At 39.8% G+C, this 14356-nt stretch overlaps 1 protein-coding gene and 1 long non-coding RNA gene across 7 annotated transcripts in view, besides 1 other annotated feature; both read left to right on the forward strand.

The window, feature by feature from the left end:
- ATF6 (activating transcription factor 6) overlaps nucleotides 1-14356 on the forward strand; it is a 197751-nt gene that overhangs the window by 123 nt on the left and 183272 nt on the right. For all 6 annotated transcript variants that reach the window (NM_001437597.1, XM_011509309.1, NM_007348.4 and 3 more), the window contains exon 2: nucleotides 11802-11878. In NM_001437597.1, the coding sequence (NP_001424526.1) occupies nucleotides 11802-11878 (77 nt within the window). The remainder of the gene's footprint in view (nucleotides 1-11801; nucleotides 11879-14356) is intronic.
- Nucleotides 7-6173, forward strand: LOC124904444 (uncharacterized). Its single transcript, XR_007066695.1, has 2 exons — nucleotides 7-364; nucleotides 2586-6173. It is a non-coding gene; the product is annotated as an uncharacterized LOC124904444 (long non-coding RNA).
- Nucleotides 10949-11068: a silencer, noted in NCBI's record as "silent region_1488". NCBI's record gives its function as "represses an Ori minimal core promoter by ATAC-STARR-seq in GM12878 lymphoblastoid cells {active_cell/tissue: GM12878}" and the evidence as "EXISTENCE:reporter gene assay evidence [ECO:0000049][PMID:35858748]".

Consider the following 14356-nt stretch of genomic DNA (forward strand, 5'->3'; position numbering starts at 1 on the left):
GTGAGTGGGATCTGAGAATGTACCAGGGTGGCTCGGGTTCGCGTCTAAAGGTTTCTTCCTCCCTACTTCCGCCCACTCGTGGTGACAGGTGTGGACCAACCCTGCCTGGGGAGTGAGGCCCCTCGTCACTCCTGTTCGTGCCCCTGGAAGAGTCTGGGAGTATCGTTCGGCTTCTGTCCTGGCCACAGGGAGAGTAGAATATTGTCTAACTGGAGTTAACTGTCGTTTTTCACTATTCCCACTGGGGAAGTACCGGGTGATCTTTTTGTGTGGCTAACACTGGACGTCTTTAGGAGGTTTAGAGCAAAATGGCTGGGACCGCCAAAAAGGCTACAAGCTATTTCCTGAGTGTGAAATGTGGGCGGTGAGCACAATGGAGTGGGTTTTTGTGTGTTTGGTGTATATGAGAGAATGTGGTTATATACAAGAAATTCTAATCTTACAGCTTTTACTATTGGTTTAAGCCTGATGTCCGTCTTGGCAGAAAAGCAAAACACCCAAGCACCTGACCTCGGGTCCCTGCTTAGCTACACCTAATACTTATGGTGTAATCCTGACTGCTCTCCAGATACAGCTCTTAATTTTCTTGTTAATGGATATTTTGTTTGGTTTTGGTGGTCAGGAAGGGTGGAATGGGATGAAGTGGAAATGAGAATGAAGAAACTTTGTTATCTAAGTATTTAGAGGAGACTTTTATTCTCCTCTTGATTGCAAGATATAATAGTAATATTGTTCTTAGGTTCCAATATGAATTTGGGATTGTGTAGGTTCCCAAATGGGCCCGCTAGTGAGCCTACACCACTCATCAGCCTTGGAACTGGGGGGAACCCAGTTTATCTTTCTCCCTTGGATCAGCATTCTCAATAGCAGGAGTGGAAGGAATCTCAACTTTTTATTGAACAAAGTCATTTAATTGTTTCAAGGACAGATGTTCTCTAAAACTATATTCTATTGGAGATTTATTTTAATCCTTGGGTAGATTTTTTAAGAGTTGCTGGAAAACTTAAGATTTTTTATTCCCATTTTCCCAAGCCAAATGCATTAGTGACAGTAACCATTTATTTAGCTCTTTGTGTCAGGGACCCTGTTAAACTCTTGACATGAAGTATTTTGTTTAATCCTACCAACAGTCCAATGAGGTACTGTTTATTTTAGAGATGAGGAAACTGAGGCTAACAGAATTTGTGCTCAGATTCTTAGAGCTAGTTAGTGGCAGAAGAAGGATCAGACCAGGTTTTTCTACCTCCAAAGTCTGTACCCCTAGCATCTATTCTATAATGCTTTCCTAACTCATGTCTACAGATTTTATTCTTCCTAAGATCCCTGGTTATTAATAAGACTACTTGAATATATTGGGTAGTTATGATTTATTTTGTCAGCTAGTCAGCTATTATATTTTCATGACATTTCTTTTCTTTACCTCTTTTTTTGAGATGGAGTTTCGCTTTTGTTGCCCAGGCTAGAGTGTAATGGCGCAATCTTGGCTCACCGCAACCTCCGCCACTCGGGTTTGAGCGATTCTCCTGCCTCAGCCTCCCGAGTAGCTGGGATTACAGGCATGCACCACCACGCCCGGCTAATTTTGTATTTTTAGTAGAGACGAGGTTTCTCCATGTTGGTTAGGCTGGTCTGGAGCTCTGGACCTCAGGTGATCCGCCCACCTCGGCCTCCCAAAGTGCTGGGATTACGGGTGTGAGCCACTGTGCCCGGCCAGTGACATTTCTTAAAGTATAACTGTGGGACACTTCCTGGTAGCATAATTTTATGTCGTCTTCTGATACCCAGGCTGCATTTTCCAGACTTATCTGATCACTTGACTTAATGTTCTCTAACAGAGCATTCAGTTCTTTGTAGTCAGTTCACCGACTCACTTCTATCGGGTATCCTGCCCTGTCCCTCCCTGAATGTGCCCATTTCCATTGTTTTCCAGGTTTCCCTTTTCAAACTGTTAACAGTCTTCTCTTCTTTGAAGACTTTAATTTAATTCCTTAGGTGTTCAGTAAGTAGGATAGATTTTGTTGGCAATAGAGTGAAACACTACTGTCTGATAGTGTTTCGTTCTGTGACAGTTGCTGTTTTGGATGTTCAAGTACTTCACTGATTTACTTGATTTTGTTGTTGTTGTTGTTGTTTCTTTTAGAGACAGGGTCTTGCTCTGTCGCCCAGGCTGGAGTGCGGTGATGCAATCATAGTTCACTGTGACCTGGAACTCCTGGGCTCAAGTGATCCTTCCATCTGAGCCTCCTGAGTCGCTAGGACTACAGGTGCACACCGCTACCATGCCTGGTTAATTTTTAATTTTTGAATTTTTTGTAGAGACAGGGGTCTTGCTGTGTTGCCCAGACTGGTCTCCAACTGGCCTCAGTCATCCTGCCTCAACCTCCCAGGTGATGGGATTACAGGCTCAAGCCACTGTGTCTAGCCTTGATTTTTTTTTAATATTAGACACTATCTAGTTAAAATTTAAAAATCAGATTATGTAATTAGTATGTCCTGTGATTTTAACAACTCTAAATAATTTAAATAAAGTGATTAACTCAGAACAGCCTGTGAGGGATGTGCTTTCCTTTTTCTTTTTAACTTAGGTAATGAAATTTAGAGCAAGAGTCTTCAAACATTTTCTGTAAAGGTTCAGATAGTAAATATTTTAGGCTTTGTGATTACATGGTCACTGTTGCAACTACTCAAGTCTGCTGTGATAGTGCAGGAGCAGCCAGAGACAGCATAAACAAGTGAGCATGGCTGTGTTTCTATAAAGCTTTATAGACACTGAAATTTGAATTTCACATAATTATTTTAAATAATAAGCCTACTTTTTTAGTATAATTATAGATTTACACAATAATTGAGCAGATAGTACAAAGAGTCCACATACTTCCCCTTCATCCCCAGCTTCTCCTATTGGTAACATCTTGCATTAGTGTGGTACATTGGTTACAATTGATGAGCCAGTATTGATACATTATTATTAACTAAGCCCATCATTTAAAGTTCACTCTGTTGTACATTCTATGGCAGGGATCCCCAGCCTTTTGGCACCAGGGACTGGTTTCATGAAAGACAATTTTTCCACAGGAGGTGGGGACAGGGAGGCACAGGAAATGTTTTCAGGATGATTCAAGTGCATTACATTTATTGTGCACTTTATTTGTATTGTTATTACACTGTAATATATAATGAAATAATTATATAACTCAACATAATACAGAATTAGTGGGAGCCCTGAGCTTGTTTTCCTGCAACTAGATGGTCTCATCTGGGGGTGATGGGAGACAGTGATTAGATCATCAGGCGTTAGATTCTCATAAGGAGCGTGCACTCTAGATCCCTCACATGTGCAGTTCACAGTAGGGTTCACACTCCTATGAGAATCTAATGCTGCTGCTGATCTGACAGGTCGTGGAGCTCAGGCGGTAATGCAAGTGATGGGGAGTGGCTGTAAATACAGATGAAGCTTCGCTCACTCACCCACCTGCTGCTCACCTCCTGCTGTGTGGCCTGGTTCCCAACAGGGTTGGGAACCACTGTTCTATGGGTTTTGACAAAGGTATAATGACATGTATCCATAATTACAGTATTATATAGAATAGTTTCACTGCCCTAAAAAAGCCCTATGCTCTACCTATTTTTTCCTCCTTCCTCTTCCCTACCTCTGGTCAGGTAACCACTGATCTTTTCACTGTCTCCATGGTTTTGCCTTTTGCAGAATGTCATATAGTTGGAATCATACAGTATGTAGCATTTTTGAATTGGCTTCTTTCACTTAGCAATATGCACTTAAGGTCCCTCCATGTCTTTTCATGGCTTGATAGCTCATTTCTTCTTAGCACTAAATAGTATTACAAAAATACTATTTACAGTGTTACAAAAAATAGTATGTATGTTCTATAGCCTATTAGTCTGCCTAGGCTGCCATAAGACAACACCACAGACTGCGTGGTTTAAACAATGGAAATTTATTTTCTCCCAGTTCTGGAGGTTAGAGTTCAAGATCAAGATGGCCGCACCTTCAGGTTCTGGTTAGGGCTCTCTTCCTGGCTTGCATGCACATGGCTGCCTTCTTCTTGTGTCCTCACATGGCACTGAGAGAGAGAATCTTCTTCTTCTTATAAGGCCACAGTCCTATCAGATTAGTGCCCCACTTTAATGACCTCATTTAACTTTAATTACCTCCTAAAGACTGTATCTCTCGATATAGTAATATTTGGGGTTAGGGCTTCAACATACGAATTTTGGAGGACACAGTTTAGGCCATAAATTCACAGTTTGCTTATCCACTTACCTATTGAAGCACATCTTGGTTGCTTCCAACTTTTGGCAATTATATATAAAACTGCTGAAAACATTTGTGTGCAGGTTTTTGTGTGGACATGCATTTTCCAATTGTTTGGGTAAATATCAAGGAGCACAATTGCTGGATTGTGTGGTAAGAACATGTTTTTTGTTTGTTTTGTAAGAAATTGCCAAACTGTCTTCCAAAGTGGCTATACCATTTTGCATTCCCGCTAGCAATGAATGAGCATTTTTGATGCTCCACATCCTTGCTAACATTTGGTGTTGCCAGTACTTTGGATTTTAGTCATTCTAATAGGTGTGTAGTGGTATGTTTTAATTTGCAGTTTCCTGATGACATATGATGTTGAGCATCTTTTCATATGCTTATTTGCCGTCTGTATGTTTTACCCTCCTCTCTCCTTCTCTCTTCTCTTTTACTCTTGCTTGAATTTGTGCAAAAGCTGCTTTATTCTGCTTTCTTCTTTCTTCCCTCCTCCTCCTCCTTTCTCCTTTCTCCTTTTTCCTTCTCTTTATTCTTCTGTCAGCTGTACTTAAGATATGTGTATCAAGATCAGAAGCTTTCGTCTGCCACTGTGGTTTCGTTTATGTCTTCAGTCTCTTCTGTGAAGGTTCTCTTGGCTTTCTAGCACTAAATCAAAATCTGGTGCTCCTGGATGACACAACTTCCCGTAATGCCCCGGTGAACGGTTGCTAATTTTATTCTCAAAACCTTTTCACCATAGGGCCTCTGTTGGTGGGATAGGTGTCTCCATTGTCCTTCACTGCTATTCTCCTTTCCTCCTCCCTAAAAATATCTAAGTTGAAATCTCATTTTGTCACAATATCCCATCCTCTACCTCTCCTGATTCCTGGATCACTCTCTTTCACTTTTCTTTTTTTCTTTTAGAGATGGGGTCTTGTTCTCTTGCCCAGGTTGGAGCTGGAGTATGCGGTGGAGCAATCACAGCTCACTGCATCTTCAGACCCCTGGGGTCAAAGGATCCTCCTGCCTCAGCCTCCCGAGTAGCTGGGACTACAGACACATGCCACCATGCCTGGCTTCTTTTTGGCTTTTTGAAAACATTTTGCCACTAGCTTACTGTTACTTTCTTCACCATTACTTCCATCATGATTCTTGGATGATTTCAGTATCCTTAGAGAAGATCCTTCAGATACACTGACCTGTCATTTTCTGGACCTCCTCTTTATCACTGATCTTACCTTTTACCCAGTCTCAGCCATTTGCTTTCCTGATCATAAGCCTAAGTCTTGTCACTACCAATAACATCTCACTTTCAAACATCCTGCTCTGACTGCCTTCGCCTGTTTTACCAGCTTACTTCCTTTAGTATTCCAGTTTCAATAGTTGTTCAGTCCTTCTGAGATTTTGCCATGTTTCCAGTGTCTCTCATTCTCTTCAGTTCATCACGTCCCTCTTACCCAGTTTAAATACCATGGACAGTCATTGTCACTATTTCCTTCCTTTCACCTTTCATATTCATGTCTGTCTCTTTTCTGGTAGGTTTCTCTTGGATAAACCTATTAGTTAAATTCAGTTTTGCCCACTTCATGCCTGTCCTAGTATAGCTGAATCAGCTGAAGAAAACACTTCAACTGTCCTGACTGGTCTCAATTTAAGTGTTGCCAGACCAATCATATTTCCCTGGTCCTCTCACTGTCCCATTCTGATGATTGCTTTATAAAGTTTCTTCTATCTTCAAACCTCCAACATCTCTCCCATCCTTTGAATCAGAAGAGAACTTCTACAGTCTCCCACTACCTCATTTACCCACCTATCAACATGTTTGCTTTCTCTTTTGTTGGTGAGAATGAGTGGCTTCTTGCTCCTAGCTAGAGCCAGTCCTTCCATATGTGCTTTAGATTCTTCCTGTTTTGTTCAAGAATATTGCTCAAGCTATTCTTCCTCCTGTTTCCTGCATCAGCATTTCCCCTCTCTACTAGATCATCTCTGTCAGTAAATGAACATGTTGTTGTTTCTCCTAGAAGTACTGTTTCTATATCTAGATAGTACTCTAGCTAGAGTTAAAAAAAAAAAAAACAAAACCAACAAACTCAAAACTCTCTTCAGATGTTACTTCACCTCTTGCTGTTACTGCATTTCTCTACTGTATGTTACAGCAGAATTCCTTTTAAAAAATGTCCACGTTCACTGACTCTAGTTTTTTATTTCTCCTTGTCTCTTGAACCCAGTCCAGTCAGGTGCCACCACTCCACTGAAACTCCTGTTTTTTTTTTTTTTTTTTTTTTGAGACAGAGTCTTGCTCTGTTGCCCAGGCTAGAGTGCAATGGCACGATCTTGGCTCACTGTAACCTCCACCTCCTGGATTCAAGCGATTCCCGCCTCAGCTTCCTGAGTAGCTGAGATTACAGGCGCCTGCCACCATGCCCGGCTACTTTTTGTATTTTTTTTTTTTTGAGACGGAGTCTCTCTCTGTTACCCAGGCTGGAGTGCAGTGGCTCACTCGGCTCACTGCAAGCTCCACCTCCCAGGTTCACGCCATTCTTCTGCCTCAGCCTTCCGAGTAGCTGGGACTACAGGCACCTGCTACCACACCTGGCTAAATTTTTTTTTGTATTTTTAGTAGAGACGGGGTTTCACCGTGTTAGCCGGGATGGTCTTGATCTCCTGACCTCATGATCCGCCTGCCCACCTTGGCCTCCCAAAGTGCTGAGATTACAGGCGTCAGCCACTAATTTTTGTATTTTTAGTAGAGATGGGGTTTCACCATGCTGGCCAGGCTGGTCTCAAACTCCCGACCTCATGTGATCCACCCGCCTCGGCCTTCCAAAGTGCTGGGATTACAGGCGTGAGCCATCATGCCTGGCCTGAAACTGCTGTTTTTAAGGGCACTACTGATTTCCACATTGCTAAACCCAGTGACTGTGTCTGATCTTATTAAACTTATAAGGAGTAAATGAATAAATAAATGGGCAAGGTGGAGGTGAGGTGGGAAAGTTTGTTGAGTACACTAAAAATAGTAACTACCATTATTTACTACTGTTGAGGGAAATCTAATAGTGTGGGACTGGTGCAAAGGATATAGAAATAGGCAATAGGTTTTAGGATACTTTGGGGTAACTGATGCTAACAGTTTCTTATGGATTCTTTTGGAATGTTCTATAAATATACGAGTATATTTATCAACCCACCTTCAGTTATTTTTTTAACCACAGAAAAGTCAAAAGATCAGTACACTGATAAACGTGCGTTTTCCTTATCTAGATTTACCAACTGTTAACATCGTGCCACATTCACTTTATATCTTAATATTACCCACACTTTCCTCCTTTTTCACATCTGAAAGTGGGCTGCAGATAATATGAAACTCCTAAACACTTCACCATGTATTTCCTAAGAATGAGGAAATGTTTATTTTTAAAAAGCATCAATTCATTTTAATATGCTTTATACTTCAAAGCTAACATCACAGGGTTCTTTTTCACCTTCTTGCACCATATGCTTGTATTTCTCTTCTGCCGCTATGAGAATCCTGATTCCCAATAACATCCTTTGTTTTTATAGGCTCACTTCAGCAGCTCTGTTGGAAATAAACTGAAAGAGGGGCAAGGGCAGAAGCAGGGAGACGTTTTGGAGGCTGTTATAGCAATCCCCATGAGTTACAATAGTAGCAGTGGAGTAATGAGAAGTAGTTGGATTATGGATATGTACACACACACACACACACACACACACACACATACACACATATATATACATACATTTTAAAATTTTGAAATAGTTTGAAATCTATAGAAAAGTTTTAAGAACAGTGCAAAGAACTCTTGCATGCCTTTTACACAGACTCCTCAGTTGTTAAATTTTACTGCATTTACTCAATTTCTCTCTTTCTCCCTTTCAAGAGAGAGAGATGTGTTGACCCATCACCTTTAAATACTGTAGTGTATACTCTCTATCCTCCTGCCTCCCAAAAGAAGGCCACTTTCCTCTATTACTACCCTATATTTCTTCCAGTCAGGAGATAAACATTGATACAACAGTGTCATCCAATTCAAAGACACCATTCAAAGTTTGCCATCTGTTTCAATAATGATTTGCTTTTCTAGTCTAGGATTTTACTTGCAAACACTCATTGCTTTTACTTATCATGTCTCATCAGTGTCCTTTAATCTGGAACAGTTCTTTAGTCTTTTCCTGTCTCTAATGTCCTTGACAGTCTTAAAGAGTAGAAGTCTTTTATTCGACAAGATGATCCTAAACCACTAAGGGGTTCCTTGGAAAAATGACCAATTCCAGGGCTGGGAAAGTGCAGGGAAAGTGCAAAATAAGCCTGGAAAATCTTGGGCCAGAAATTCTCAGCAAATGAACATGTTAAAAAGAACAAAGGCCCCAATATGAATGAACTCCCCGTGGTCAAATCTGGGAAAATTTGGCATCAGAATAAAATGAGGGTATACATTATAGTGTAAATACTATGCGATGTTCCTATGCCATCATATCATCCTGTGATATAGTCACATGATCACTTGGTCAAGTTGGTATCTTCTAGGTTTCACCACTGTAAAGCCACTGCTTCCCATTTTGTATTTTATTGCTATTTTGGGGGAGATAATCTGACATAACACCAATATCCTTTTCTTATTAAACCTCTAACCACGAGCCCTAGCCTCATTAATAACCCCAATCTATATCAGTTACCACTCTAATGGTTGCCAAATGGTAACTATCTAACTCTATCATTCTGTCTATCATTCTATCATTGTTGATTGACATTGCACTATAAGAACCAACCTACCTACCTACCTTCCTTCCTTCCTTTGTTCCGTGATGAACTCATTGATTCCTTTTTTATTTGGTGGTTGGTAAACCGCTACTCTCATTTTATTCTGATGCTCAGATTTTCCCAGATTTGACCACTGAGAATTCATTCATATTGGGGCCTTTGTTCTTTTTGACATATTCCTGTCATTTGCTGAGAATTTCTGGCACAGCAAGATTTCCAGGCTTATTTTGCACTTTCCCTGCTGCAAGCCCTGGAATTGGTTATTTCTCCAAGGAACCCCTTAGTGGACTTCTGTTTGGTGGAAGATGGTATTTAGTATCCAAGATCTGGTCACCCAGTATTTTCATTGCTACTGGGATGTCATTGCTTCTAGGACCTCTTAGCAGACAGAACTAGGAAATATATATACATGTGTGTATATATATATATATGTGCATGTGTATATATGTATATATGCATAATACAAACATCTGCATATGTGTGTACATATATATATACTTCCACAGCTATCTGTATGTGTTATATTTTAAATGAGTTTATTTACTAATACTTCTAGTTCTAATCCAACATCTTAGGATTCTTTTAGTCTCCCGACTCTTTCCATGCTCTTAAATCCTTTCTCAGACTGTGAGAAATCTGACTCCAATTATTTTAGTAAAAGGCAAAAGATTCATTCGTTCTGAAGAGAAACCAGAGCATTCTAATTATTTTAGATATATTCAACCATTTGCTCAGTCACCTAACATATTTGTTCAGTATGACCACTCTCCTAACCACTCAGCCTGCGTTTTCCATCTGCTACTCCATTCCCCCTCCCACTGGGCTGGGGCATGCTGGCATCTTTGCTGGGCAATAGTCTCTCCCACACCATCCTATTTCCTTGGATATGAGGCATATTGCTGGAGATGACTGTGCACAAAACCCCATCACCTTTGTTGCCCTGCTTCTTTGGAAGCTGACATCTCTGTGTTGGGAGGGGTAGGGAAGAAAAGGAAGGTTGGGAAGGGAAGGAAGAATGGGAGGAAAGGTAGGAAGCCACATTACAGATATATATTTTGAGAACAGAGCTGACAGAATTTTCTGGTAGATTGATTATGGAGAGTGAGGAAGAGAAGTAAATAATTAAGTAATAATGATCCCAAGGTTTTTGGCCTGAGCAACTGGGAAAATCCAATTGTCATTAACTGAGATGAGGACAAAGCAGTAGGAGGTTTGGTGGGGTTGATGAGGAGCTCATTTTGGATATGTTAGGTTTGACATGCCTTTTAAACATCTAAGAGGAGATGTCATACTCACTGCACATGCATCTTGAAGTGTGGGTTGGAGATGTATATTTGGAAATCCTTGGTATATAGATTTTATTTAAAGCCGTGAGCTCAGCTGAGATTACCAAGGAAGTAAGATAGATAGAAACGTTTATGCTGAGCCCAGGGACAAATTTGTGTTAGGGAGATGAGGAAGAACCAGCAAGGTAGGTCAACCACTGAGGTGGGAGGAAAACTGGGTAAGTGTGATATTCTGGAAGTCAAGTGAAGAAAATGCTTCAGTTAAAATGAAAGGATCAACTATGTTAATGCTGTTGATAGGTCAAGTAAGATGAGGACTATGAGTTTACCATTGAATTTAGCAATATGGAAGTCACTGGGGACATTAATAATTATGTGTATGTGGAGCGGGGAGCTTGATTGGAGCAGGTTTAGAACGAATGGGAGGAAAGAAATGAGAGAGCCAGATAGAGAACTCTTTAAAGGAGTTTCAGCCTATATATAAGCCGCAGTCCTCTGCTTATATGTTTCTTGGCTCTGCACCTGAGTAGTCTTTTCTGAGAGTCATGTGAGTAACCTTTTGTTATTACTACGTATACATTTTTTTGCTAAATACTATTTTGTCTTAGGCGGTGAAATGTTACTGTAATTGGTCAGGTTAATAACAGACTGACAGTGCAGTTCCTACACTTGTGCACTGAGGAAATCATCAGAGCAGTTTCAGCAGCATAAAATAGGTAGAGAGTACAAAGGAAGACCTAGTTTTGAAAAACTCTTCAAAGTGCTTAAAGTTTTGAAAGTGTCAGAGGAAATAGGAACTTCATAGATTCTATGGTGAGGAGCCTTCTTGGGCCTTGGTCAACACCTTAACCTTTCTTTACAAAAAGTTTTCAGTATAGTGTATTGAAGAATGTTTTCTGTATCCACATATTTCTTGATTTGTAATGAAACCTCATTAGGAAATTGGAATATAGTTAGATTTGCTGAAATGAATTTGATGGTTTAGATGAATGAATCCTTTATTGTCTAGATAGAAAATTGGTTGCACCCTTAACTTAAGGCATGGATAACAAATACGCAGTGTGTATATACTTTCCACAGCCCTCTCCTATTGCTTATGAACCATGTCTACTTTCCACAGTTGTCTCCTATTACTTATGAACCACATTAACTCTTCATGCTGAACCCAGATGTAGCATCAGAATTCTTGTTAGTAATGTTCCATAAAGCCACTACCAATTAGTCTTACATGACATATGACATAAAACCTTTTTTGATCCCTGGTGTAAGAATTCAGTTCACAAGATAAAAATTATGCAGAAAACAACACATAAATTGGAAATGAGCATTGAATTGCTTATTCACATTACTGGAGTTTATCAATAATAGTAATGGCTAATGAGAAACCTTAATAGAGGTGACATAGGGACACAGTGCTTGTTTCTTTGTCAAATAATTGAATTGACAGTTCATTTCTATTCTTTTCCTTTGTCCAAAGATTCTGCTCTCTTTGCTGAACTCGGTTATTTCACAGACACTGATGAGCTGCAATTGGAAGCAGCAAATGAGACGTATGTAAGTATTTACTAAGGTTGAATAATGTGATATTTAGTCTTTAACCCTAATTATTGCAAGAAAGTTTCAGGACAACAGGTTCAGGCTAGTAATTTAAGTTACATACTTAATGGTAAATAGCTTCTACCATTAAGTATGAAAGTTAGTAGCCATTTTGTAATCAGTAAATGTAGGACAGTAGAAATTGCATTGTATTGCAATTCTAGGCCCACCTTTGGCCCTAGGGATGGGTGACTTTGGAAAAGTCACTAATCTGCCTACCTGGTTTTTACAGATACTTTGCTACATAAGGGAATTGGCAGGTGACTTTGGAAAAGTCACTAACCTGCCTACTTCTTGGTTTTTACAGATTCTTTGCTTTTAAAAAGGAAGTTGGTAAGTTCTGCTTGACTAAGTTAGTCCTTTTTAAAAGTTGTGTATTCATGTAGAAAGCTCTGAAAAGTAGGTGTATCCTTACCTTTGATTGGTTAGAGGTCTGTGTGAAAACTATTATAACACTGAGTCCCCGAGAATATCTTAGATTTTCTTTTCTTGATTAGTACATATAAAACTCTTTGCCCTATAGAACTTTGATTTTGTCTTATTCTTTAATGGATGAGGTGCTGTTTCACTTAAGAAGTAATTCAAGTGAGCAGAGTAATTTGTCAATCAGGTTGAATATCACATCATTTTAGGCTCTTATTAACTTGAGTACAAAATATGTAAAGATTGCTTAGTGAGTTTCAGACATTTCTTAAACAATGATTTAGCAGTTGTTTTTACCATTAATCGACAGAAGAGAATGAAGGACATGATATATTTTAAAAAATCAGTACTAGGGATTTTAATGGTTTCATTTACTCCATGAGATACTTTAGAATGTGGCCCATTGATTAAACTGCCTTTTAATATTGGCTATTTGAATAAGCAACTGATACTCATATTTCATAACATCTAGAATCCTAAAAGAAAATGTTTCTTTTAAACTATGTCAAGAAACTGTGTGCTCAATTGGAAAGATTAAGGGAAATATATTCCTGATTTTACAACTAACATTCTATTATTTTATGCAAATCACTCAATCTTTCAGTTCCTTAGTTTTTCTAGTATGACATGAAGGGATTGAATCTCTGAGACCCCTCATGTCATTCTTCTTCCAAACGGCAATAGAATTTCCCATGCTAAATCACTGAAGAGTTAGAGTATATAAGTGCCAGTATGTTTCATTTTGCATGAACTGGGCCTGTTAAATTTCTGATGTGATAAAATCTTTATGCTGTAGAAGGTATTTGACTTATTTGGCTGAAGATTGAGTCAGAAGTTTCCTCAAGTAGATCATGCCCTTATTTAAAAGTGTTGCTGGCACTCAGGCAAGCAACATTGGTAACTTTACTTAGATTAAGAAAGTTTAAGGATTTTTTGGTTGCTAAAACAAGGCTGCTTAATTTTTTTTTTTAAGACAGAGTCGCACTCTGTTGCCCAGGCTGGAGTGCAGTGGTTTGATCTCGGCTCACTGCAACCTCTGCCTCCCAGGTTCAAGCGATTCTCATGTCTCAGCCTCCTGAATAGCTGGGACTACAGGTGCATGCTATCACGCCTGGCTAATTTTTGTATTTTTAGTAGAGACGGGGTTTCACTACATTGGCCAGGCTAGTCTCAAACTCCTGAGCTCAAGTGGTCCACCCACCTCGGCCTCCCAAAGTGCTGGGATTACAGGCATGAGCCACCACACCTGGCTAAGGCTGCTTAATTTTTTGATGTGAAGATCCAAATAAGAGAAAAAAGTGAAGGAGATTGATTTTTTAAAAAATGGTTTTTTTATGATTTAAATACTTTTTTTTCATGTGCACTTTCACATGTTCTCTTTATGTACCTTGTACTAATATTTACTCAGTTATGGGCATCATAAGAAAATAGTTTCCCTTCTGTGTTTCTGTTACATTCTCAATAAAAATGAACCATATAGTAGTCATTTTGAAATGATAATATTCTTCTAGAAATTGTTAACAAATGGTCGTTACCAATTACTAGATACATTTTTACTTTTTTTGCCTGAGGTGTATTTTTTTATTTTTATTTTTATTTTTTTTTTGAGACGGAGTCTTGCTCTGTCGCCCAGGCTGGAGTGCAGTGGCGCAATCTCGGCTCACTGTAAGCTCCACCTCCCGGGTTCACACCATTCTCCTGCCTCAGCCTCCTGAGTAGCTGGGACTCCAGGCACCCGCCACCACGCCCGGCTAATTTTTTGTATTTTTAGTAGAGATGGGGTTTCACCATGTTAGCCAGGATGGTCTCGATCTCCTGACCTCGTGATCCACCTGCCTCGGCTTCCCAAAGTGCTGGGATTACAGGCGTGAGCCACTGCACCCGGCCGAGGTGTATTTTATTGTTGCTGTTTTTGTTGTTGTTGTTGTTTTGTTTTGTTTCTTTGACAGGGTCTGGCTCTGTCTCCCAGGATGGAGTGCAGTGGCATGATCTTGGCTCATTGCAGCCTCCATC

The sequence above is a fragment of the Homo sapiens genome, chromosome 1 (assembly GCF_000001405.40).
Source record: "Homo sapiens chromosome 1, GRCh38.p14 Primary Assembly".
In the NCBI taxonomy this organism is placed as follows: Eukaryota; Metazoa; Chordata; class Mammalia; order Primates; family Hominidae; genus Homo; species Homo sapiens.